At 41.1% G+C, this 23,624-nt stretch overlaps 2 protein-coding genes across 5 annotated transcripts, besides 6 other annotated features; both read left to right on the forward strand.

Annotated features, from left to right (window-relative positions):
• Nucleotides 311–540: a silencer, noted in NCBI's record as "silent region_20921". NCBI's record gives its function as "represses an Ori minimal core promoter by ATAC-STARR-seq in GM12878 lymphoblastoid cells {active_cell/tissue: GM12878}" and the evidence as "EXISTENCE:reporter gene assay evidence [ECO:0000049][PMID:35858748]".
• On the forward strand, nucleotides 416–2,380 carry TCEAL3 (transcription elongation factor A like 3). 2 transcript variants are annotated; one of them, NM_001006933.2, is made up of 3 exons: nucleotides 416–523; nucleotides 1,057–1,126; nucleotides 1,491–2,380. In NM_001006933.2, exon 3 carries the CDS (start codon nucleotides 1,518–1,520, stop codon nucleotides 2,118–2,120), a length of 603 nt encoding a protein of 200 aa, NP_001006934.1. In that variant the 5' UTR covers nucleotides 416–523; nucleotides 1,057–1,126; nucleotides 1,491–1,517; the 3' UTR covers nucleotides 2,121–2,380. The 2 variants fall into 2 exon arrangements, with proteins under 2 accessions (NP_001006934.1, NP_116315.1); NM_032926.3 differs by having other exon boundaries at nucleotides 416–511.
• Nucleotides 571–740: a silencer, noted in NCBI's record as "silent region_20922". NCBI's record gives its function as "represses an Ori minimal core promoter by ATAC-STARR-seq in GM12878 lymphoblastoid cells {active_cell/tissue: GM12878}" and the evidence as "EXISTENCE:reporter gene assay evidence [ECO:0000049][PMID:35858748]".
• Nucleotides 21,053–21,122: an enhancer, noted in NCBI's record as "active region_29821". NCBI's record gives its function as "activates an Ori minimal core promoter by ATAC-STARR-seq in GM12878 lymphoblastoid cells {active_cell/tissue: GM12878}" and the evidence as "EXISTENCE:reporter gene assay evidence [ECO:0000049][PMID:35858748]".
• Nucleotides 21,169–23,406, forward strand: TCEAL1 (transcription elongation factor A like 1). 3 transcript variants are annotated; one of them, NM_001006640.2, is made up of 3 exons: nucleotides 21,169–21,246; nucleotides 21,947–22,014; nucleotides 22,338–23,406. In NM_001006640.2, the coding sequence occupies exon 3, from the start codon at nucleotides 22,370–22,372 to the stop codon at nucleotides 22,847–22,849; it is 480 nt and encodes a 159-aa protein (NP_001006641.1). In that variant the 5' UTR covers nucleotides 21,169–21,246; nucleotides 21,947–22,014; nucleotides 22,338–22,369; the 3' UTR covers nucleotides 22,850–23,406. The 3 variants fall into 3 exon arrangements, with proteins under 3 accessions (NP_001006641.1, NP_004771.2, NP_001006640.1); NM_004780.3 differs by lacking the exon at nucleotides 21,169–21,246 and adding an exon at nucleotides 21,428–21,478 and having other exon boundaries at nucleotides 21,947–22,026; NM_001006639.2 differs by lacking the exon at nucleotides 21,169–21,246 and adding an exon at nucleotides 21,428–21,478.
• Nucleotides 21,994–22,288: an enhancer, noted in NCBI's record as "tiled region #5968; HepG2 Activating non-DNase unmatched - State 1:Tss, and K562 Activating non-DNase unmatched - State 1:Tss". NCBI's record gives its function as "activates a minimal TATA promoter and a strong SV40 promoter by Sharpr-MPRA in HepG2 and K562 cells {active_cell/tissue: HepG2 | K562}" and the evidence as "EXISTENCE:reporter gene assay evidence [ECO:0000049][PMID:27701403]".
• Nucleotides 22,193–22,242: an enhancer, noted in NCBI's record as "active region_29822". NCBI's record gives its function as "activates an Ori minimal core promoter by ATAC-STARR-seq in GM12878 lymphoblastoid cells {active_cell/tissue: GM12878}" and the evidence as "EXISTENCE:reporter gene assay evidence [ECO:0000049][PMID:35858748]".
• Nucleotides 22,313–22,382: an enhancer, noted in NCBI's record as "active region_29823". NCBI's record gives its function as "activates an Ori minimal core promoter by ATAC-STARR-seq in GM12878 lymphoblastoid cells {active_cell/tissue: GM12878}" and the evidence as "EXISTENCE:reporter gene assay evidence [ECO:0000049][PMID:35858748]".
• Nucleotides 23,407–23,624: the final 218 nt, after the last annotated feature.

Below are 23,624 nucleotides of genomic sequence, written 5' to 3' on the forward strand. Positions count from 1 at the left end.
CACCACCCTGGGCTCTGGAGTCAGGCAGAGACAGTCTTGAAAGCGGGCTCTGGAGTTCTGGGGCTGAGCGCTCTTGGCAAAGTCGGGTACCCTCTTTGATCAGCTGTCACACCTGGCGATAATGGCATCAGAGAGAGATACCCTGCGAGGATGCCGTGAGATGCGCCAGGTAAAGCACCTGGGGTCAGAAAGCCACCCCCTCCTCCTCTTCTCCGTGACCCCCCTTTGCTACACAAACACACCCCGACCCCGACCGTCCCCAGCCTCCCGGTCCTTCGGGGTTGGATGGTGAGGTGGGTCAGGCAAGGGGGGCCGAGCTCGGGTGACGCGGCGCTCACGTGACCCGCCGGGCGCCTACGTGGGCACCAGCCCCCGCGCCCGCCCGCCCGCCCTGCGGTCCGGTCCTGGCGCCCGCGCAGAACCAGCTGTCTGAGCTGCCCGGGCAGCGGGGGAGCAGCGAGCGGGCTTCCGCGAGCCGGAGAAGGCACAGGCCTGTCCCGGGTCCCGGCAGGTCAGTGTGAAGGTGGGCGCTGCCGGCGGAACCACGGAAGGGGTGGAGGTGGCTGGCAGTAGGAGTAGGGAGGGGCGGAGAAAGGATCCGGGAGACTGGTGAGGAGGGGGAAGCGGAGCGGTCGGAGGCAAGGGCGGGGGAGCCTGGCCCGCCTTCTCGACGACCCCCTGCACTGAGCCGTCCATCCATTTTAGTACTGGAAATGGAGTACGGGGGGGCAACCCCGCAGTGCAACAGTGAAACGTAGACATATTCTGGAAATAACCGCCTCTCACAATCTGCTCCCATGGAAACATCTGACCTCCGCAAAAACGGGGTGGCGCTGGGACAGGTTGCCTCCAGGGGAAGGGGACACAGAGACAAACGCAGTTTGGAAAGCATCCTGGTTTGGTGCCCGAGGCCTGGAAAGAAATGGCGGCTGGGGTGCGGGGGATGTAGGGGAGGAAAACGTTGGGTAAGCAGGGCCTGGACTCAGGAAAGGGAACCGAGTCCCTGTGAGACCGCTGACTGCGCAGCCCCTACCCCTGTCTCCTGTCTGTCCGCAGGTCTGCGCGTCTGTTCCCAGCGCTCTGCGAGGCCTAAAAAGGAGGAGCAACCTGTCCAGAATCCCTGCAGGTCTGTGAAGGTGGTTGTGGGGGAGCTCAATGGACAGGGCCCTATAAGGGTTGAGAGTGTGGAGGGCCCGGCCAGGGCCGAACTGGGGCCCCTGCCCATCCCCCACTCACATGAACACACACCTTACCAGGCTGAACCAGTGCAGAGAAGGTGGCAGGGACTGCCAGGGAATGGCTGGCTCACGTGTGTGGGAGGAGTGGCAGGCTACGTGGTGGGCAGAAGGCCCTCTTGGGGGCCCTGCCAGCTTAGGGGAACCCTCACCAGGGGTGAGATGCAAGTACTATCCAGACCTGCATTCCACCCCATGCCCTCAGTCTCCCATGTCTCTTATTTGTCTCCTCTTCCCTCCATTCCCATCCCCCAGGACAGGAAAAGGAGGGGAAATCTCGACATGGAAAAACCCTACAATAAAAATGAAGGAAACCTGGAAAACGAGGGAAAGCCAGAAGATGAAGTAGAGCCTGATGATGAAGGAAAGTCAGACGAGGAAGAAAAGCCAGACGTGGAGGGGAAGACAGAATGCGAGGGAAAGAGAGAGGATGAGGGAGAGCCAGGTGATGAGGGACAACTGGAAGATGAGGGAAGCCAGGAAAAGCAGGGCAGGTCCGAAGGTGAGGGCAAGCCACAAGGCGAGGGCAAGCCAGCCTCCCAGGCAAAGCCAGAGAGCCAGCCGCGGGCCGCCGAAAAGCGCCCGGCTGAAGATTATGTGCCCCGGAAAGCAAAAAGAAAAACGGACAGGGGGACGGACGATTCCCCCAAGGACTCTCAGGAGGACTTACAGGAAAGGCATCTGAGCAGTGAGGAGATGATGAGAGAATGTGGAGATGTGTCAAGGGCTCAAGAGGAGCTAAGGAAAAAACAGAAAATGGGTGGTTTTCATTGGATGCAAAGAGATGTACAGGATCCATTCGCCCCAAGGGGACAACGGGGTGTCAGGGGAGTGAGGGGTGGAGGTAGGGGCCAGAGGGGCTTACACGATATCCCATACCTTTAATGCCTTTGGCCTTCCATTCTGATTTCTCTGATGAGAATATTGCTGGCCCTGCTTTCCCTGGTAGGTATTTGCCAGGCCCAATGCTTTAACCTTAAGCTGATACTTTGCTTTAGATGTCAGTCTCGTTACCAGCAGCCTTTTGACCCAACTACGGCGCTCTATATTTTAGTAGAGGATTTTCACCCATGTGCATGGAAAAGATGTTCATGGTACATTGTAAAAAAATAAAATTAAAATTAAAAAAAGTTTGCAGAACCGCATATACAGTATCAGCCCGTTTTTATAAAAATGTAAATGTTTGCATAATGCATTTGTGCACAAAGAAAACTCTGAAAGCATGTACACTAAAAAGCAGCCAATGGTTATTCCTGAATGGTATCCAAAAATGAGTTCAATCACTTGCTGGGTAGGTACCTCCATGCCATTCTGCTGTTGTTGTGCCCATCCTCATGTCTTCCCTAGGTGTAACTACGTGAGTGGGCACTGCTACCCCTTCTCCTGGGTCCTTTACCATCCTATGGCTCCCCCATAGGATGCGATTCTTTTTCTTTTCTTTGCTCTCACTCATCTCTACCTTTTCTTAAAGGATATGTCCTTTTGTCATAACAATAATTTTAAAAACTAAACGAGAAAACAATACATAAACAATTGAACTGTTCAATGAGCTTATGAGGGTAATAAAGACACTTAAAATTTCTGTTGCCAGAACATAAAATGATAAGTAAAATTCATATTACCTCTGAGACTAACAGCTAGAGGTATCAACCTGGCAGTTATAACAAATCCATTGCTGTAAGGGTCAGTCTTGCCATCTGTGAAATGGGGATAATACTTATCTCACAGGACTGCCCAGTGGATCAGATGAGGTATTGAACATGTGAGCTGTCCTTACAGGAGCAGGACCCAGCACCCTGTCAGACACTTAAAAGAAGAGCTGAAGGTAGGTTTCACCTGTCCCCAGGAACAACTCCAAGCAGCTGAGTAGAGGGTGCCATCCTTCTCTGGATACTATCATATCTGCTGGGCACTTCTGTTCTGCTATGCCCTGTATATGTACTGTCTGCTGACAGCCACTGATATAATGGAGTACTCATGGTGACAAAGCCCTTCTGATTCCCTACAGTCCCCAAAGGGCCACAGTCCCAATTGCAGGTGGTTCTACTCTAGGGCTTCTTGGAGCCCACTGTATTACACAGTTCTTAGCAAAGTAGCCATTAACATTTTTAGTTCATTTTATATTTGCTTACAGCTTCATTTCTCTTCTTAGGATTTGAGACATTTTGGGTCTACTTGGGACTGTGTCCTGAGTCTAACCTATTGGCTAGATAATGAACTGTGTTTGCACCAAACACCCTACCCCAGTACCACAGGTGAACCCTATCTAAATTTTTATACCTTTCTAAGTGTGAGTTTTCTCTAAAAAGCCTCATTGACTGGCCTACTATACAAAATCAAGGGACTTATCCATATATAATCACAGAGATAACCCTGTGTGAAACATCCCTTCCCATTCTAAACCACTTGCAACTGAAAGAGGTACAGTGCTCTTAAAAATATTAAAAACTCTTAGGCATTTTTATTTAGCCCACCAGTATATTCCCTTATCAAAACAGACTTTTAAAAAATTCATCCTGATATCCGTTGCACTGTACTTGACACATATATTTAACAATTACTTGATTATGACTGAGTCAGGAGCCTTGAGTTTTTGACCCAGTGTATCCTTGGGCAAGTAATTTCACTTGTCAAAAATACAACTTGAAATTCAAAAATAAATAATACAGGAGAAGTGATAATTCTAAATCCAGCTCATAAACCATTTTAACAATGTATAAAAATGATTTTTTTCAAAATACGTTCAAAATATGTTAAACGACTCCCTGGGAACCTCCCTGGTCCCTGGCACAAACCCAGAATTTCTAGGAATATGGCTCTAGAACCTGCAATTTCCACAAACTCCCCAGGTGATTCTGATGTACAGTGAAGTTTTACACATTGCATGATCTCAATTACATTAAATATAAACCATAAAAAAGTAGGAGGAAGTATAAGGAAATGTTTATCTGAATTCAGTAGGCACAAAGCACATATGTACCAACATGTTTTAAAAAATCAAACTATGTGCTAGATTTGTACATTGACAACTACAAAACATTGATGAGAGAAATTAAGATTTAAATAAATGGAAAGATACATTGTTCATGGATTAGAATGGCTGCAAAGAAACAGTGGCACAGGACTCCCTCAAGGTGGATGCCCTAACCAAGGTTCTGCCTGTTTTTACCTTTTGGGAGGGTCTTGAAATCTAAAGACTACCAGGCCACATTCCCTTCTAAATAGTCCATATCTGTTTATTCAGGTAGTGAGTGTACCCACTGGGGGCATCCACTGCAGAGGCAACTATCAATAATTGGGAGGAAAAAATGACCATCTCTGTAGATATCATTCAGCCTCCCCATTCCCCTGCCACTGCTATCCCAATGTTTGCTCAATGGGCCCTTGTACAAAGTGGCCACAGAAACAGAAATAGAACTATGTGAGAGCTCAACAATATTGACTTCCCATACCAACCTGATCTGACTACTCTCATAGCTGAGTATGAAACCTGCCAACAGCAGAGGCCATTGCTGAGACCCTAATATGGTATCATTTCCAGAAGGAATGTCGATTACATTACTTTGTGCCCTATAAATATATACAATTATAAATTGTCAATTAACAATAATTATTTAAACTATGAGAAATAATACACAAGTACAATGTAGCAAGATGTAATATCAATATACAAAATCAATTGTATTTCTTTATAGTAGAAATTAACAATCTGAAATGAACTTAAGAAAATGATTCCATTTACAATGGTATCAAAAAGAAAAACAATCTTGGGAATAAATTTAACAAAACAAATGCCAGACTTGTATATGGAAAAGTACAAAATGTTGTCAAAAGAAACTAAAGACAACCTAAATAAATGGAAATAAATTCAATGTTCATTGATTGAAAGACTTAACATTGTTCAGATGGCAATATTCCCTAATTGATTTACAGACTTAAGGCAATCACTATCAAAATCTCCCCTGGCTTCTTTGCAGATAATAACAAAGTGATCCTAAATTATAATGACCCAAAACAGACAAAACAATCTTGAAAAACAATAACAAATGGAGTTCTTACACTTTCTAACTTCAAAACTTACCACAAAGCAATAGTAATCAAGACAGGGTGGTCCTACCATAAGGATAGATATATAAATCAATGGAATAGAATTGGGAATCCAGAAGTAAACTCTCACTTTTATGCTCAATGGATTTTCAACAAGTCTGCCAAGACAATTCAAAGGGAAGATAATAGTTTTTAAACAAATTGTGATGAAACCATTAGATATCCACATGCCAAAGAATGAATTTAGAACATTATGTCACACCCTACATCAAAGTGAACTCAACACAGATCATAAATATAAATGAAAGAGCTAAAACTATACAGCTCTTAGAAGAAAACATATGCATAAATATTCATGACCTTGAGTTAGGCAATTTTACTTAGATACAATAACAAAATCATATATGACAAAAGATACATTCTACTTCATGAAAATGGAAACGTTTTGTGCTTCAAATGATAACATCGAGAAAATGAAAAGATGATCCACCAGATGGGAGAAAATAACTGCAAATAATACATTTGATAAGGAGCTAATTTCCAGAATATATAAAAAACTCTTACAACTCAACCATTAAAAAAAAAGAGAACCCAATTTTAAAATGGGCAAATGATTTGAATAGATATTTCTCCCAAGAAGATATACAAATGTCCAATAGGCATATGAAAAGAAGCTCAACTGTATTAGTCACTAGGGAATGTAAACCAGAACCACAAAGTGATACCACTTCACACACAGTAGGATGGCTAAAACGAAAGAGATAGAAAATAAGTTTTGGTGAGGATGGGGAGAAACAAGTCCTCATACATTGCTGATGGGAATGCATTTGCTTGGGATAACAAATTGGCAATTCTTTAAAATGTTAAACATAATGTGTCATATGACCCAGCAATTCCATTCCTAGGTATATACACAAGAGAAATGAAAACATACAGTCATGCAAAATGTATACACAAATGTTCATAGCAGTATTGTTCATAATAGCCAAAATATAGAAAAAAAATCCATGAACTGGTGAATAAACAAATATGGTATATTATACAATGTATTTGGCAATAAAAAGGAAGAAGTACTGATACATGGCATAGCATGGATGAACCTTGAAAACATTATGCTAAGTGAAAGTAGGCAGTCACAAAAGACCACATAGTTTATTATCCAATTTATAATAAATGGACATATCAACAAATCTATAGAGAAAGTAGATTCGTGGTTGCATGGGGCTTGCAGAAGGGCAGGAATGAAAAATGGTAATAGGAAGGTTTTCTTTAGGGGTGATGAAAATGTAAAATTGGATAGTGGTGATGGTTGCCCACCTCCATAAATATTCTAAAAACCATTGAATTGTGCACTTTACATGGGTGAATTATAAGGCATATGAATTATATCTCAATAAAGCTGTTAAAGAGAAATAATTATCTACAATAAAAATAAGAACAATGTGTTACATGGCTTGTAACATATGTAGAAGTAAAATGTACAATGTGGTGGTTAATACTGAGTGTCAACTTGATTGGATTGAAGGATGCAAAATATTGTTCCTGGGTGTGCCTGTGAGGGTACTGCCTAAGGAGATTAACATTTGAGTCACCGAACTGGGAGACGAAGACCCACCCTCAATCTGGGTAGGCACTATCTAATCAGCTGCTAGCCTGACTAGGATAAAAGTAGGCAGAGGAACGTGGAAAGACTAGAATGGCTTAGTCTTCTGGCCTACATCTTTCTCCCGTGCTGGATGCTTCCTGCCCTCAAACATCAGACTCCAAGTTCTTCAGTTTTTGGACTCTTGGACCTTCGATCACAGACTAAAGGCTACACTGTCAGCTTCCCTACTTTTGAGGTTTTGGGACTCAGACTGGCTTCCTTGCTCTTCAACTTGCAGACGGCCTATTGTGGGACTTCACCTGGTGACTGTCTGAGTCAATACTCCTTAATAAATTCCCCTTTATATATACATCCATCCTATTAGTTCTGTCCCTCTAGAGAACCCTGACTAATACGTACAACAATAGAAAAAAAGATGGGAGGGGGAATGCACAGTTGTAGGGTTCTTCGATTATCCATGAAATCATTTACAGTTGACCCTTGAACAACACAGGTTTGACCTGTGTTTTTTGATGTGGATTTTTCCAACCAAACTGAGATGGAAAATACTGTACTTGTGGGATGTGAAGTCTGCCTATAGCGAGGGCTGACTTTTCACAAAGATGGGTTCTGCAGAGCCAACTCCAGGACCCACCTAGGTATACATAGATTTGTATATCCTGGGGAGTGGTGGGTCCTGGAACCAATCCCCTAAGTATACTGAGAGATAGCTATCATATTATTTGAAGGTAGACTGTGATAATCTATGATACATATTACAAATACCAGAGCCATGGCTCAGAGATTTTGCCTGAGGGAAGGGAGGGAAGCAGGATGTAAAATGGAGAGTTCTAAATTTTTTCCCAAAGGAAAGGAATTCATTTGCAACAGAATATGGAGAAGTCCAAGTTCAAGGGAGCTCTCAAAAACAGTGGAGGCTCTGGTGCATGATATATTAAAATATATATTACAGTATATATTTGGTCAATGTCCCCAGTTCCTGGCACAGAGCTCCTAAAACCTTTGGGATTTTCTGAATGATAGGAGTGTCTTTTGTTATTCATAATGAGCCCCTTTTGACTACTCCTGAATTTATGCTAATGAGGTGACTTAGGGTAAGACCCCTAGATAGCTTCAGGATGGGGACTGGACACCAGAAAGACCAAATACATGATTACAGGATGGGAACTTTCTGCCTTGCTCCTGACCTCCAGGGATTGGAGAGGGGATAAAAATTGAGTTCAATTACCAGTGGCCAATGATTACATAAATCATTCCTATACGATAAAACCTCCATTAAAATCCCTAAATGATGGGGCTCGGGAGCTTCTGGGTTGGGAATACATTGATGTACTGATCAGATGGAGCACCCAGAAAAGGCATGGAAGCTCTGTGCCAAATATACCCCATATCTTACCTTATGCATGTCTTCCATTAGGCTCTTCCTGAGTTGTATCCTTTACAATAAACTGGTAATAGTAAGCAAAGCACTTTTCTAAGTTCTGTGAGTCATTCCAGTAAATTACTGAACTCAAGAAGGGAGTCATGAGAACTGTGAATAAAAAATAGACTCTCAGGACCCCAAACTCACTATGGCAAAAGGGAAATTAAGCTTGGGAACTGAGTCATCCAAAAACTGCCTTCCATTTGTTCCCAAATAGCTGTAATTTCACATGCTTACTTTATCTTATGTAAAATGTAGATGTACTGAGCATGAGATGAATGCATAATTGACTTTTCCTCTACTCCTTTCTTTTTACATGTAAAATGTAGATTCACTGAGTGCTAATCAGAGCCTCACAAGAATGTAACCACTTGCCTCATTGCCTACCCATCCTCCTTTTTTTTCTTCCCCTCTTGCTTGCTCTTTCTCCTTTAAATACTGAAGTTCCCAAAGCCCTCTGTGGGAAAACCACAGGTCACCAATCCTACTGTGACTTGTGTTTCATTTTCCTAGGTGTGTCCTCAACCTTGGCAAAATAAACCTCTAATCAATTGAGATCTGCCTCAGTCACTTTTTGGTTTACAGAACCCTCAAATTTGTACTAGCCCAGGCTGAAGTGTGGGTAGGTTGGGCACCCCATTTGCAGCTGCCATCTGAAGTGGAGGGCAGTCTTATACTTAAAAGCCCTTAAACTGTAGGGTCTGCACTAACTCTGAGGAATTAATATCAGAATTAAATTGAATTGTAGGACACCCAGTTGGTGCCAGAGAATCAGAGAATTGGTAGGTGTTAGAAAACACCACACATTTGATGTCAGAAATAGTGCCAGAAAACACCACACGTGGTGAAAGGCAATTGAGAGGACATTGGTAGATTCATTGGAGATGCAGACTAAGCTGTAGGCCCACTAGTTTGCTGGAGACAACCTGGGACAGAGAAAGCTGGGAGGAGACCCACTGGGATTAGAACAAATCTGTCTGTGGAATCATTTATGCCCCAGGGCATTGTTGAAAACAATAGGGCAATCAGCAGGTAATTAGTGGAGCTAAACAGCTGGGTATGGTCAGGGAAAAAAACAGTCAAGGAAAGCCCTGCCAAAGGTGACTGTGGGCACAACCAAGGCTGAGCCTTCTGGTGAGCAACATAACAGGCTTCACATTGTGCAAGCACAGAGTTTACTAAAATAATCTAGCTAATCACTAAATAAATAAATATGCAAATATCAGTAAAAAGCTCCAGATGGGGAAGAGGAAAATAGTACCCAGAGGTGCTACAATATATTATCCAAAATGCTCAGTTTTCAACAAAAAATTATGAGATTTGCAGGGAAACAGGAAAGTATAACCCATATACCAGAAAAAGGCAGACACTAGGAGCTCCTTGTGAGAGTGGCCAGATGTCAGTTTGAACAAAGACTTCAAAGTAGCTATTATTAATATGTTCACAGAACTACAAGAAACCATGATTAAAGAAGTAAAGAAAGATATGATGATGTTGCATCAAATATAAAATATCAAAGACATAGAAATTATTTTTAAAACAAATTGAAATTCTGGGATTCAAAAGTACAATAACTAAAATGAAAAATTCAGTATTACACTTGAACTGCCAAAAGAATCAGTAAACTTGAAGGTAAATTGATAGAAATTATGCAATCTGAATAACCAAGAGAAGAAAAGACTAAATACAAATGTACAGTGCCTCAGAGAAATGTGGAACACCATTAAGTATTACATTAGCAAAGGAATTACTCCCAACAAGAAATCCATAGGAACCAACTGAAGAGATCTAAAAATGATATCTAAGAAGGTCAAAACCTATTAACATATACTCGTTCTCCTCTCTTCTCTCAGCTTCTTTAAAATACATAAGTTCATATAAAGCAATAATTATAATAATGTATTGTTGAGTTTGTCAGATGTATAGTTGTAACATACATAACAATAATATGACAAAAATGGAGAAGGAAATAGAATGATATAGAAATAACATTTCTATATCTCACTGGAATTAAGTTAGTATAAATCTGAAGCTGATTCTGATAAGCTAATATGTATATGGTAAGTCTAGAGCAACCACTAAGGAAATAACTAAAAAATATGGTTTAAAAATCATTTTAAAAATTAAAACGCTATATTAGAGAATATTCAGTTAATGCAAAAGAAAGTGGTAAAGGAAGATTCGAGGAAGACAGGAGACCTACAGAAAACAAAAAGTAAAATGGCAGGTATAAATCCAACTAAATCAATAATAACATTAAGTCTGAATGGGTTAAACTATCCAATAAAAGACAGTTGTTAAAATGGAAATTAAAAAACCAAGATCAAACCATTTGCTGTCTATAGCAGACAAACTTCAGATTCAAAGATACAATAGACTGAAAGTAAAAGGATGAAAAAAGATACATCATTTTGTCTGATTTTACTATAGCCAGCTTTCTGGAGTGGCCACAGTAATATTAGACAAAACAGAGTTTAAGAAAAAAAAAAGTGTTAGTAGAGATAAAGAAGGACATTGTATAATGATAAAAGGGTTAATCCATCAGGCAGATATAACAATTATAAACATATATGCACCTAACAAAAGAGCACCAGAGGGCTGGGCACAGTGGCTCACACCTGTAATTCCAGCACTTTGGGAGGCCGAGGTGGGTGGATCACCTGAGGTCAGGAGTTTGAGACCAGCCTGACCAACATGGTGAAACCCCATCTCTACTAAAAATACAAAAATTAGCCGAGTGTGGTGGCACACACCTGTAATCCCAGCTACTTGGGAGGCTGAGGGAGGAGAATCACTTGAACCTGGGAGGTGGAGGTTGCAGTGAGCCAAGATTGTGCTGTTACACTCCAGCCTGTGCAATAAAAGCAAAACTCTGTCTAAAGAAAAAACAAAACAAAACAAAAACAAAGGAAAAAAACCACACCAGAATACCTGAAGCAATTTACAGAAATGAAGAGATAAATAGACCACTCAACAATAATAGTTGGGATAGTTGGGGACTTTCAACTTTTAATAATGGATAGAAGAACTAGGCAGAAGATCAACAAGGAAATAGAAGACTTGAACAACACTATAAACCAACTAGACCAAACAGACATATATGGAACATTCCACCCAACAAAAGAATATACATTCTTCTCAAATGCACATGGGACATACTCCAGAATAGACCATATGCTAGGCAATAAAACAAACCACAATAAATTTGAAAGATTAGAGATAATTCTAAGTATTTCCCCTAGCATAGAATGAAAGTAAAAAACAATAACAGAAATAAATTTGGGAAACTCACAAATATGTGGAAATTAAACAACACACTCCTAAATCACTAACGGATCAAAGATAAAATAAAGAGGAAAATTAGAAAATATGTTAAGACTAATGAAAATGAAGATACAAAATACCAAACCTTACAGCATGCGTCTAAACCAATGCTTAGAAAGACATTTATAGCTGTAAATGCCTACAGTAAAAAAGAAGGCTGGGCACAGTGACATGTGTCAGTAGTCCCAGCTACTTGGGAGGCTGAGGTGAGAGGATAACCTGAGCCCAGGAGTTTGAGACCAGCCTGGGTAACGTAACAAGGCTCTATCTTCAAGAAAAAAAAGGAAGAAAGATCTCATATCAATAACCTAACCTTCCACCTTAAGACACTGAAAAAGAAGAGCAAACTAAACCTAAAGCAAGCAGAAGGAAGGGAATAATAAAAACTAGAGTGGAAATTAATAAAATAAAGAATAGAAAAATAATAGGAAAAGTCAATAAAAACAAAAGCTGGTTCTCTGTAAGGATCAACAAAATGAACAAACATTTAAATTGATTAGCCTGGAAAAAAAAAGAGAAGACTCAAACAACTAGAGTCAAAAACGAAAGAGGGTACATTACTATTGACTTTACAGAAATAAGAGGATTATGGAGGAACACTATGAATAACTGTATGCCAATAAATTACATAACTTAGATTAAATAAATGGATTCCTAGAAAGACACTACCAAAACTGACTCCTGGATAAATACAGAATCTGAATAGACCTATAACAAATAAAGAGAATGAACTACCAATGAAGGAACATCCAGGCCAAGATGGCTTCATTGGTGAATTCTACCAAACATGTAAATAAAAATTAATATTCGCTTTTCACAAACTTTTACAAAAAAAGAAGAGGAGAGAACATTTCTCCACTCATTATATGAGGCCAGTGTTACTCTGTTACCAAAACTATACAAAGACACCACATGAAAACTACAAGGCAATATCTCTTATGCTGTAGATTTTTTTGAGGATGCAAAAATCCTCAAAAAATATTTCAAACAAATCCAGCATCATATAGAAAGAATTATACAATATGACCAAGTGAGGTTTATCCCAGGAATGCAAAGTTGATTTAACATTCAAAAATCGATCAATGTAATACACCATATGAATAGAATAAAGCACAAAAACTACATGATGATCTCAAAAGATGAAGAAAAAAATGTTCAACAAAATTCAACATCATTTCATGATAAAAACACACAACAAATGAGGAATACAAGCAAAATTCCTTAACCTGACAAAGGGTATATATGAAAAAGACACAGTTAACAACATACTTAATGATGAAAGACTGGATGCTTTCCCCTTAAGATCAGGAACAAGACAAGAATGTCTGTTCTCTCCACTTCCATTCAACTTTGCACTAGAGGTTCTAGCCGCGGAGGTTAGACCAAAAAAAAGAAAGAAAAGACATCCAGATTGGAAAGGAAGAAGTAAAACAACCTCTGTCTTAGTCCATTCAGGCTGCTATAACAAAATACCATACACTGGGTAGCTTATAAACAACAGAATTTTATTTCTCACAGCTCTGGAGGCTGGAAGTTCAAGAACATGGTGCCAGCAGATTTGGTGCCTGATTAGGGCTGAATCTCTGGTTCACAGATAGCACCTTCTAGCTGTGTACTCACATGGTAGAAGGGGCAAATAAGTTCCCTCAGGCCTCCTTATAAGAGCACTAATCCCTTATAATGCTCTACCCTCACAGAGCACTTCATCAGACTTGTAATTTACCAGAAATAAACAATCCAAATAATAACAAGTATTGGTGAGGATGAGGAGAAATGGAAACCCTCATACGCTGCTGGTGGAAATGTAAAATGACAGTTCCTCAAAATGTTAAACACGGAGTAATCATATGACCCAGCAATTCCAGACCTAGTTACATACCCAAGAGAAAAAAAACCCACAAATACATGTCCACACAAAAACTTACATGAATGTTTATAGCAGCATTATTCATAATAGCCAAAAGGTGAAAAGAATCTAAATGTCTATCAACTGATGAATGCATAAACAAAATGTGGTATATTTAGATGATGGAAAACTATTTGGTCATTAAAAATAAAGTTTTGATACATGCTACAATATGGATGGGCCTTGAAAACATTATGCTAAGTGAAAGAAGCCAATCACAAAAGACCATATATTGCATGATTCCATTTATATGAAATACAGAGAATAGGCAATTCCATAGAGACAAGGAGTAGATTAATGGTTGGCTAGGGTTGGGGAGGATGGAGGGTAGAGAGTCTTAACCAAAGGGTATAAACTTTCTTTATGAGGTGATGAAAATGTTCTAAAATTGATTGTAGTGATGGTTACACATATCTCTTAATATACTAAAAGCCACTGAACTGTACACTTTCAATGGGTGAACTCTATGTCATGTGAACAACAACTTAATAAAACTGTTTTTTTTAAAAAAAAAAAGAATGAAAAGGGGTCATTATTACAGATCCTCTAAGAACGTAAGGGACAGTATGGTAGTATTATGAATAACTTTATGCCAATAAATGCAATAATGTAGATAAAATGGTCAAATTTCTTGAAAGATACAAATTACCAAGCTCACTCAAAAAATAAATAGAAAACCTGAACAGAAGAGTGGTGTTTAACCACCAGGTCTCTGAAAGAAATTAAAAACCCTGATTCATAGAGTATCTGACTTCTAAAGTGTAAACCATGGCCAATTTTAATCAATCAATGTATCATCACTGAATGTAGATTTGATAAGAGATAGTGACAATCAGCTCTCAATAGCTGGCACAGGCCAGTTCCAGTATACAACTGTCTATATCTTTTTTTTTTTTTTTTTGAGACGGAGTCTCACACTCTCGCCCAGGCTGGAGTGCAGTGGCACGATCTCGGCTCACTGCAAGCTCCGCCCCCCGGGTTCACGTCATTCTCCTGCCTCAGCCTCCTGAGTAGCTGGGATTACAGGCGCCCGCCACCACGCCCCGCTAATTTTTTTGTATTTTTAGTAGAGACGGGGTTTCACCATGTTAGGCAGGATGGTCTGGATCTCCTGACCTCGTGATCCGCCCGCCTCCGCCTCCCAGAGTGCTGGGATTACAGGCGTGAGCCACGGCGCCCGGCCCTACCACTGTCTATATCTGTAGAATAAAATTAATTTGTTATTAAAAACTTTCCAAGAAAACTCCAGACCCAGATGTCTTCACTAGTGAATTCTATCAAACATTTAAAGCTGAAATAACACAAATGTTAAACAAACTCTCAGAAAGTAAAGGAAAAGGCCTCCTCTCTACATAATGAGGCCTGAATTACCCTGATGCCAATACAAAAACATTACAAGAAAACTATAGACATTATGTTTATAGATGCAAAAATTCTTAACAAAATTTTGGGAATTTGAATCCAGCAATAAATAAAAAGTATATATATATTTATCATGACCAAGTGAGGTTTATCACAAAAATGCAAAGTTGGTCAAGTACTTGGAAGTCAATTTAATTAAACATATTAACAAAATAAGGAGAAAAATATGACCACCTCAATAGATACAGAAACAGCATTTGATAAAAGTCAATAAAATCTCTCAGGAAACAATTAGAAAGGAACTTCCTTAACCTGAAATAGGGTATCTATTAAAAAAAAAATCACAGCTGACATAACACTTAATAGTGAAAGAATGATTTCCTCTTATGATAGGGGATCATGCAAGGATGTCAGTTCTCACCACTGTTATTCAACTATGTACTGGAAATCCTAGTTAGTGCAATAAGGCAAGGAGAAAAGGTATGTAGAGGCCAGGCACGGTGGCTCACGCCTGTAATACCAGCACTTTGGGAGGACAATGCCGAAGGATCACCTGAGGTCAGGAGTTTGAGACCAGCCTGGTCAACATGGTAAAACCCCATCTCTACTAAAAATACAAAAAATAGTTGTGCGTGGTCATGCGTGCCTGTAATCCCAGCTACTCGGGAGGCTGAGGCAGGAGAATCACTTGAGCCCGGGAGGCAGAGGTTGCAGTGAGCTGAGATCGTGCCATTGCACTCCAGCCTGGGCAACAAGAGCGAAACTCCATCTCAAAAAAAAAAAAAAAAAAAAAGAAAGAAAAAAAAAGAAATGCAGATAGGAAAGGAAGAAGTAAAAATGTATTCATAGAAGAATCATGATCATGTACATAGAATGCCTTAAGAATCTACAAAAAGTTATTGGAATTACTAAGTGAATTTAGCATGATCTAAAGATAAAAGGTCAATATACAAAAATCAAGTATATATTTTATATACTAGAAATAAACAATTAGAAGACAAAAAATTTAAAGTACCACTTGCAAAGGCATCAAAAAGCATGAAATAATTAGAAATAAAGTTTATTAAATATGTGGAGATTTTATATTGAAAATTATAATACATTACTGAGAGTAATTATGGAAGACCTAAATAAATGAAGTATAATACCATGTTCACGTATCAGAAGACTCAGTATTGTGAAAGTGGCAATTCTCCTCAGATTGATCCATTTATTCAGTGTAATTCCAGTTAAGATCACAGCCAAGAAAAGCCTAAGACAGCTTACCAACTAAAAGTGATATAGTATTCTAGATGGCATCCTGGAACAGAAAAAAAGGATATCAGGTAAAAATGAAGAAAATGGGAATAAAGTATGGGCTTTAGTTAAAGACAATGTCTCAATATTGGTTTGTTAATTATAACAAATGCACCATAGTAATGTAAGATGTTAAAAATAGAGGAAACAGGGTTTGGGATATATAGACACTGTATTATTTTCTAGATTTTTTGGTAAATCTAAAACTATTCTAAAAAAAAGAATTATATTTTTAAAATAAAAAAACACGACGTTAAAAAAAAGGCAACAGGAGAAAAAAACGCTTTATATTTTATTACCTAAAATGGTACTTTTTTTTCTTGCTTTTTGAATAGAGGCCTTGCATTGTCTTTTACACTGGGCCCTGCAAATTATGGAGCCAGCCCTGCCTCTGTCCCAGCCTCCTTCCCAGGCCTCAGGCTGAGGTTGTTCTGGGTGCTTGTAAAAGTCCCTGAAAGGCCAAGGCTAAGCTGTGGCTCTGTTGCAGCCCAGCAGGGAAGGCCAAAATAGAATGAGTTATGTGCTCTGAGCTTGTCTGGATTCTGGGAAATGCAGCAGCAGCCACAGTCCGCAGGTGGTCCCCACTCAGGCCAAATCGTGTTCGTAAGCAAAGGCCCTCCCACCTCAGTATGGTGGGCAGTATGGAATCATTGCTTCCTAGAGCTAGAAGGGACCTCATTCATGGTTCTACCACAGCCCTCGCCCCCACCATTTAGGGAGAAAAATGATACAAATAGAGGCAAGGAGAGGGGTAGGAGGCTGCCACACCTCCAGAGCCTCCAGGGAGTGAATGACAGCATAAGTCTTGCCCAGACCCAAGCCTAGTACTGTCTCTCTTCAGCCCAGGTCTGGACCCACCTTCCCTGTCCCTGTGCATTTCCAACAGCCTGAGTTGCTACTTAGCCTTTCCTCAGAGCCCCTTCCTTGTTTCTCTGAGCATATACAGGGTGTGTGTGTGTGTGTGTGTGTGTGTGTGTGTGTGTGCGTGTGTGCGTGTGTGTGTTTGAGCCCCAGTTAGGATGAGGCCACAAGCAGAAACAGAAAAGAGGAGGCTCCTGTCATTGCTTTTCCTACTTGGGAATTTCCCCTGGGGCAGGGGTAGGGGAGGAGCCCATGAGAGTCACAGGCTGGACAGGGCCTGCTGCAGTCAACAGGTCCAGGTCTGAGAGCAGGTACTGCCATTAGTGCCATTAGGAAAGAATGCAGAGGCAGCAGCCACAGAGGGAACGTCTGGGCTGGAGAGGGCAGAACTCCTCAAGTCCAGGCAGACAGAGCCTGCAAAGTGAAACCAAGGGGACTCGCAAAGAAGGAGGGTTCTGTTCCTGCCACAGAAGTGCAGCCTCCCCAGCAACAGGAATCCCTGGAGGAGAAACCCACCCTGGGCTTTCTCAGATCCCCCAGAGAAAGGCCACACCACTTGGAGACTGTTGTCATGGCAGCAGCTGCCCAGTGCTGTGTGTAAATGTGGGTGGAGCCCACTGCCCAGGAGCAGTTTTACATAGTGGTTAAAGGTACAATCTCTCATGCCACACTGCCTATGTTTTGTTTTTTTTGTTTTCTTTTGTTTTCAGATGGAATCTCTTATTGGCCAGGCTGGAGTACAGTGGCACAATCACGGCTCACTGAAGCCTTGAGTTCCCAGGCCTCTAACCTCGGCCTCCCAAGGAACTGGACCACCTGGGACCGCAGGTGTGCACCACCATGCCTGGCTAATTTTTATCGTTTCTAGAGACAGGATCTCACTATGTTACCCAGGCTGGTCTTGAATTCCTGGGCTCAAGCTATTCTCCCATCATGGCCTCCCAAAGTGTTGGGATTACAGGCGTGAGCCACTGCACCTAGCCTTAGGTTTTAAATCCCATCTCAGCTACTTACTATCATCTGTGTTTCCATGGGAACAATTTGTCACCTCCCAGAGCTCAGTTGTCACACTTTTGAAATGGGTTTCAAAACAAACACTCATTAGTAATAATGGACCAAGCAATATACCCTCATAGGACCCTAAATCAAGGGTATCAAATCAAATCCATCAGAAGGACAGCCCCACCCCAACCCCAACCCTACACAAACAAGTAGCAGATCACACTTCTTTGTAACAAATGATTGTCATTTGGTAGCAGAATCACCTTTACCTTATTCCCTCTTGAGAGTCCTTTCTCTTAAGGGAACCCGAGATCAGCTACTGCTGGGCAGACTTAGAGCCCACATGGAGACTCGGTCTTCATTCCTCCTCTCCTGCTTCTATTTCCTCACACCTCCTTATCTGCCCTCCATATTTACTAAGTTCTCATCAAAGTTTAATTTATACCGGTGCAGGAGCTTTCAGGGACTATAGTGTCTTCTATTAGCAGCACTAGAAAGCAAGCAATCTGAGAAGCCACATGAGAGATGAGAGGAAGGGAACTAGCTCGGCAGGGCATACTCCTGGTTTCACATGCAATAAGGAAAAGAAATTTTTTTCACTTGGAGTCAGAACTCTCTGCTGAGATACCTATAGATCTTTCCCGAGTTTGCTGACTTTATCACCCTATTTAGTACTAGTGGCATGCTTTAAATTAATGATTTGCAGCTAATATACAGAATGATAGAATCTGGATTCAAAGATTGAGGGAGTGAATCTAATGAGACAAAATTTAACCCAGAAAAAATTAGAAGCTTCTATACTTGAGTTAAAACTAAAAAGATTTACAGAAGTGGATTAACAGCTTGAAGTATGAAATAAGGGAGGGGTCTAGTTGACTGCAACTTAAACTGGATTCAATTGTGTGATATGGCATTCACAAAATCTACTATAATTTTAGGATGCATCCATAGATGTATAGCACCTATTCTAAAATGAAGGAGGTGGTAAGATCACTCCATTCTGCACTAGGCAGTATATTCAGTGTTTTCAGAGACATTTACACATTCAGGAATGTGTAGAATAATGAATGACTTTGAAAAAATATGTCACATCAGAAATGGCTGAAATAACTGGGGAGGTTAAACCCCCCAAAAAAGTCTTGGTGAGAACATAATTCTTTAAGGATTATGTGAGATGGCATATTGAAAATACTTAGTGCAATGCCTGGCATAAAGTACACAATTAATCTTAATATTAAAAGGATGTTAATTAGTAGTATTGTTAGCACTGTGTCATACTATTATTATTACTATTATTATAGTTAATGCTTATAGAGTGCTTTCTATGTGCTAGGCTCTATTCCAGATCCTTTACATAGGTTGACTCATTGACTCAGTTATTCCTCTTACAATTCTATGAGGTAGGTACTATTATTGTCTCCAATGTTGTAGATGAGGAAGCTGAGTCACAGAAGATTGAGTAGATTGCCTAGTGTGTCTCACAGAATGGAAGGGGAAAGAACCAGAATAGAAGCTGTGGCAATTTTAAGCTGTCAAGGATGAAAGGTACTTTTATTATTTTATACCTGTTCTGTACCACTCCACAGGGCAGAGCCAGGACCAATGTGTGTAAACTACTGGGAGGCAGATTTTAACTCAACAGAAGCAAAAATCAATTAATTAATTAATTTTAAAACTCTGAATGATTAGAACTTTCTGAGATTTCAGTGAGATATCTTATAAGGCAGTGAGTTCTCCATCACAGGATTTAAGAAGAATAAGGATAGAAATGAATGAAATGGGACTTCTCTAGGAAAGAAACTATACAAATGAGAAACCAACCCTTGATGAAAAAATAAGAAGGCATAGTGAAACTTGGTTTTAAAGACACATCTCACAGAGAAATTGGAAAGTAAAACAGTTATAAAAAAGATATGAAGGTAAACTAATATTTGTCTAAATGCTATCTCAACACAAAGTTAATCAGATATCAGAGAAAAGCAACAAACAGTTCTTAAAAGGGGAAATTTCACATGAATTTCTGTTCAGAAACTTACTAAACAGCCTGGCTTTAAAACAAAATCCCAGGATCCTCACAGATCAGATGGTCATCTACCCTGAAAGTGTAAAACACAGAGGGAAGGGAAGTAGTATGCTCTGTAGGGGAAAGAGCATCTGCATAAGAAAGTAGCATCCAGGCTGATGTGAGTAGATGAGAGGCAGGCATAAGGTTAAAGATCATAAAATACTGTTAGATAAAAAAAAATACATATTGCAATGACAATTGAAAATGCTAGCATAATTGTAGTCCTGCTATTCAGTATGTGGTCAACAGAATTATTGCATAGTTTAATATGGAATGCCCTCCCTGCTGCATCTATCTTTTGGGGTCCAGCAGTCCCAGAACTCAAATATTTGTTGATTTAGTGAATTAATATAAACTTCCTCAACCAGAAGCACCAAGAGGTGGCTGGTTAAGGATTGAGAGTCCCAGTAAAATCTATTTATTCTATTATGAATAACTACTGAATAATTTATATATATGTACACATGTATATAAATATATTTTATAATCTATTCAGTGTGTATACATGCATATATATGCGTGTATATATATACACGCATATATATGTGTGTATATATATACACACATAGAGAGAATAATGCCAAGCTCTCCACCAAGGACTATCCCATTTCAGATAATAAGTGTTCTGGACTGTTTGTACTTAGATGGACAAATACGTATTTGATTTATGAAAATCAAAGTATTCATTCTTTTTAGATCTACAAACTTTACAAACTCAACTCTTTCTACAGGTCTCGAACTGAATGATTACCAATTTAGATCTGGGGGCTCAAAAAAACAAAATGTGATGTCAAGAAAAAGTGAAAGATTGTCTCCCATGAAAGTGACAAGAGATGAAACATGCTGAATGAGCCTAAATGGACATGATGGAGATACGGATGTGGATTAAAACTGAGAGTGTTGGGATATAAGGATATAATACTGATTTATGAAGGTGAACAGTCAAACGTCAGTGCAGGATCTGAACTGCAGGGGAAATAAGGGGCCTTGGTGGCTAAGGAAGGGAGGAGGGGAGAAAGAGGTGGTACTAGGGGAAGTAGCACAGAGGAAGAGGCAATACTACCCGAGACTAGATGCGGACCGTCTCTGGCAACCAGGAAAAGGCAAATACAAAGAGAGGTGAGTGACAATGCCTGGTGTGTCTCGGGTCAGAGAACACTAGCAGGCACTAGCAGGTGGCTGCGGCAGGGCCGCAGATCAAAGTGGTAACTGGGGATCTGAGTTCGGCAGTGACGCGCGTCCCTCACGTGACCAGGAGCCTCTATGTGCCCAAGTCCCTCTCGTCCCGGTCTTTTTTTTGCCTGTCCACCATCTCCCTATTACCCTTTGGTCGAGAGGGAAAGCAGAAGAAGTAAGTTCCCTCTACCCTCTTAAATCGGTGTGAGTGTCGGCGCTGCCTAGTAACCCGGGGAATGGGGTTGACAGAATCGGGATGGCGGAGTCCAGGCCTTTCCCTAAGCTCCAGCCCCGCCCCCCGCGCCCACATTTCTGTGCAAAATATGGTGGTCTTTGGGGCGGGGTGGGGAGGCGAGTACCTCCCCCGTCCCCCGGGAGGGGGGTACAGACATTTGGAAATAGTTTCTAAAAATGCTTCGCTTCCACTTCTCATCTGAAAAGAAATGGCAAGCTTTGCGGGGTGGGGAGGTGGGAGCACGGAGGACGAAGCTTGACGCAGGGGCTGAGACGAAAAGAGAACCCGAGAGCTAGGGGAGCGTGCAGGCAGTGGCTGGTGCCCAGAAAGTGGGGGGTGGGGGGTGTCAGTCAGTCCGTCCCTCCTCCCCACTCCCCGCCCCCTACCCTGTCTTGCGTCTGTGTGCAGGTCTGCTGGTCACAGCGGGGCACCTCGAGGAGAGGACGACTAGGAGCACACGGCCCGGAAAGGTCCAGGTCAGGGAAGGGGTACGCAGTGGGCCGGGACTGGGGCGCGAGGGTGGACGCCGAAAGGCATGGAGTCTGCAGGCCGCACTGTCCCGCCCCTGTCACTGCGGGCGAGGCCTGTAGCAAAGCCTGCTGGGAAAATGGTGGGCTTTCGGGAAGGAGGGGGCGACCGGGAAGCGGCGGAGTCGGGAGAGCCGGAGAGCCTCTGGGAAAGCGCAAGGTTGAGGACCTGGCCCCCGAATCAGGAAAAGGCAGGTATTGGAACCCACGGCCTGGGTGTTAGTCCAGCCGCTTAGTATTCTGACTCTATTCTGCCTTTCTTGTCTCCTAAGAATAACTGTGCTTGAAGAAGAAAATTCCCAACATGGACAAACCACGCAAAGAAAATGAAGAAGAGCCGCAGAGCGCGCCCAAGACCGATGAGGAGAGGCCTCCGGTGGAGCACTCTCCCGAAAAGCAGTCCCCCGAGGAGCAGTCTTCGGAGGAGCAGTCCTCGGAGGAGGAGTTCTTTCCTGAGGAGCTCTTGCCTGAGCTCCTGCCTGAGATGCTCCTCTCGGAGGAGCGCCCTCCGCAGGAGGGTCTTTCCAGGAAGGACCTGTTTGAGGGGCGCCCTCCCATGGAGCAGCCTCCTTGTGGAGTAGGAAAACATAAGCTTGAAGAAGGAAGCTTTAAAGAAAGGTTGGCTCGTTCTCGCCCGCAATTTAGAGGGGACATACATGGCAGAAATTTAAGCAATGAGGAGATGATACAGGCAGCAGATGAGCTAGAAGAGATGAAAAGAGTAAGAAACAAACTGATGATAATGCACTGGAAGGCAAAACGGAGCCGTCCTTATCCTATTTAATGTGTTCGGCCTTTAATTCTGTTTTGCCTGCTAATAGTATTGCCATTGCCACCTGGACTTTCTGTTTGCATTTTCTTAATGCCTTTTCCCATATTCTGAATTTTAACTTTTTGTGAGGCTTTATTTTAGATGTTTAGCATGTAACTCGCTTAAAGTTGAGGTTTCCCCCTAAAATCTACAAGTTTCCCTCTTTCAGTCATGAGCCCTACACATTTGCATGAAAGATGTACATTATATATTGTGAAACGAAAAAAGCAATTTTCAAATGGTATATATTGTATCCCATTTTTGTAAAAAAAATGTATATTTATATATTAATATGCAAAGAAAAAGCTAAAAGTATAGACTTCAAAGGCATAACAGTGGTTGTGTGGTAAGATAATAGGTGATTTTTTAAATTTTTGTTTTATCTGAATTTCTCATTTTTTCAGGACAAACGTTTTACTTGTGTTGCAAAAATATATAATGAAAAAATCACACAATTTTGAAGAAAACTGTCAATCAGCTTATAACGACAATGTGGCACTTAATAAATACTTGTCAGAACTTTAAAAAAAGTGAATCCTATGTTTTTTTCTGAATCTCTTAGGCACAAATATTAGCCAGATATGGATTATATTTAATAGTCATTTTGTTCTCATTTAAATAGGAATAATACTTGCTTTACAGTGCTACTGTGGGACCAGATGAGAAAAAGGTTGTGTGAGCTATGTTCGGGGTCTTTATTCCACCTGCACAGGCAGGACCCCAACCCCTATAGATTCCCTGCAGACAT

The sequence above is a fragment of the Homo sapiens genome, chromosome X (genome assembly GCF_000001405.40).
Source record: "Homo sapiens chromosome X, GRCh38.p14 Primary Assembly".
In the NCBI taxonomy this organism is placed as follows: domain Eukaryota; kingdom Metazoa; phylum Chordata; class Mammalia; order Primates; family Hominidae; genus Homo; species Homo sapiens.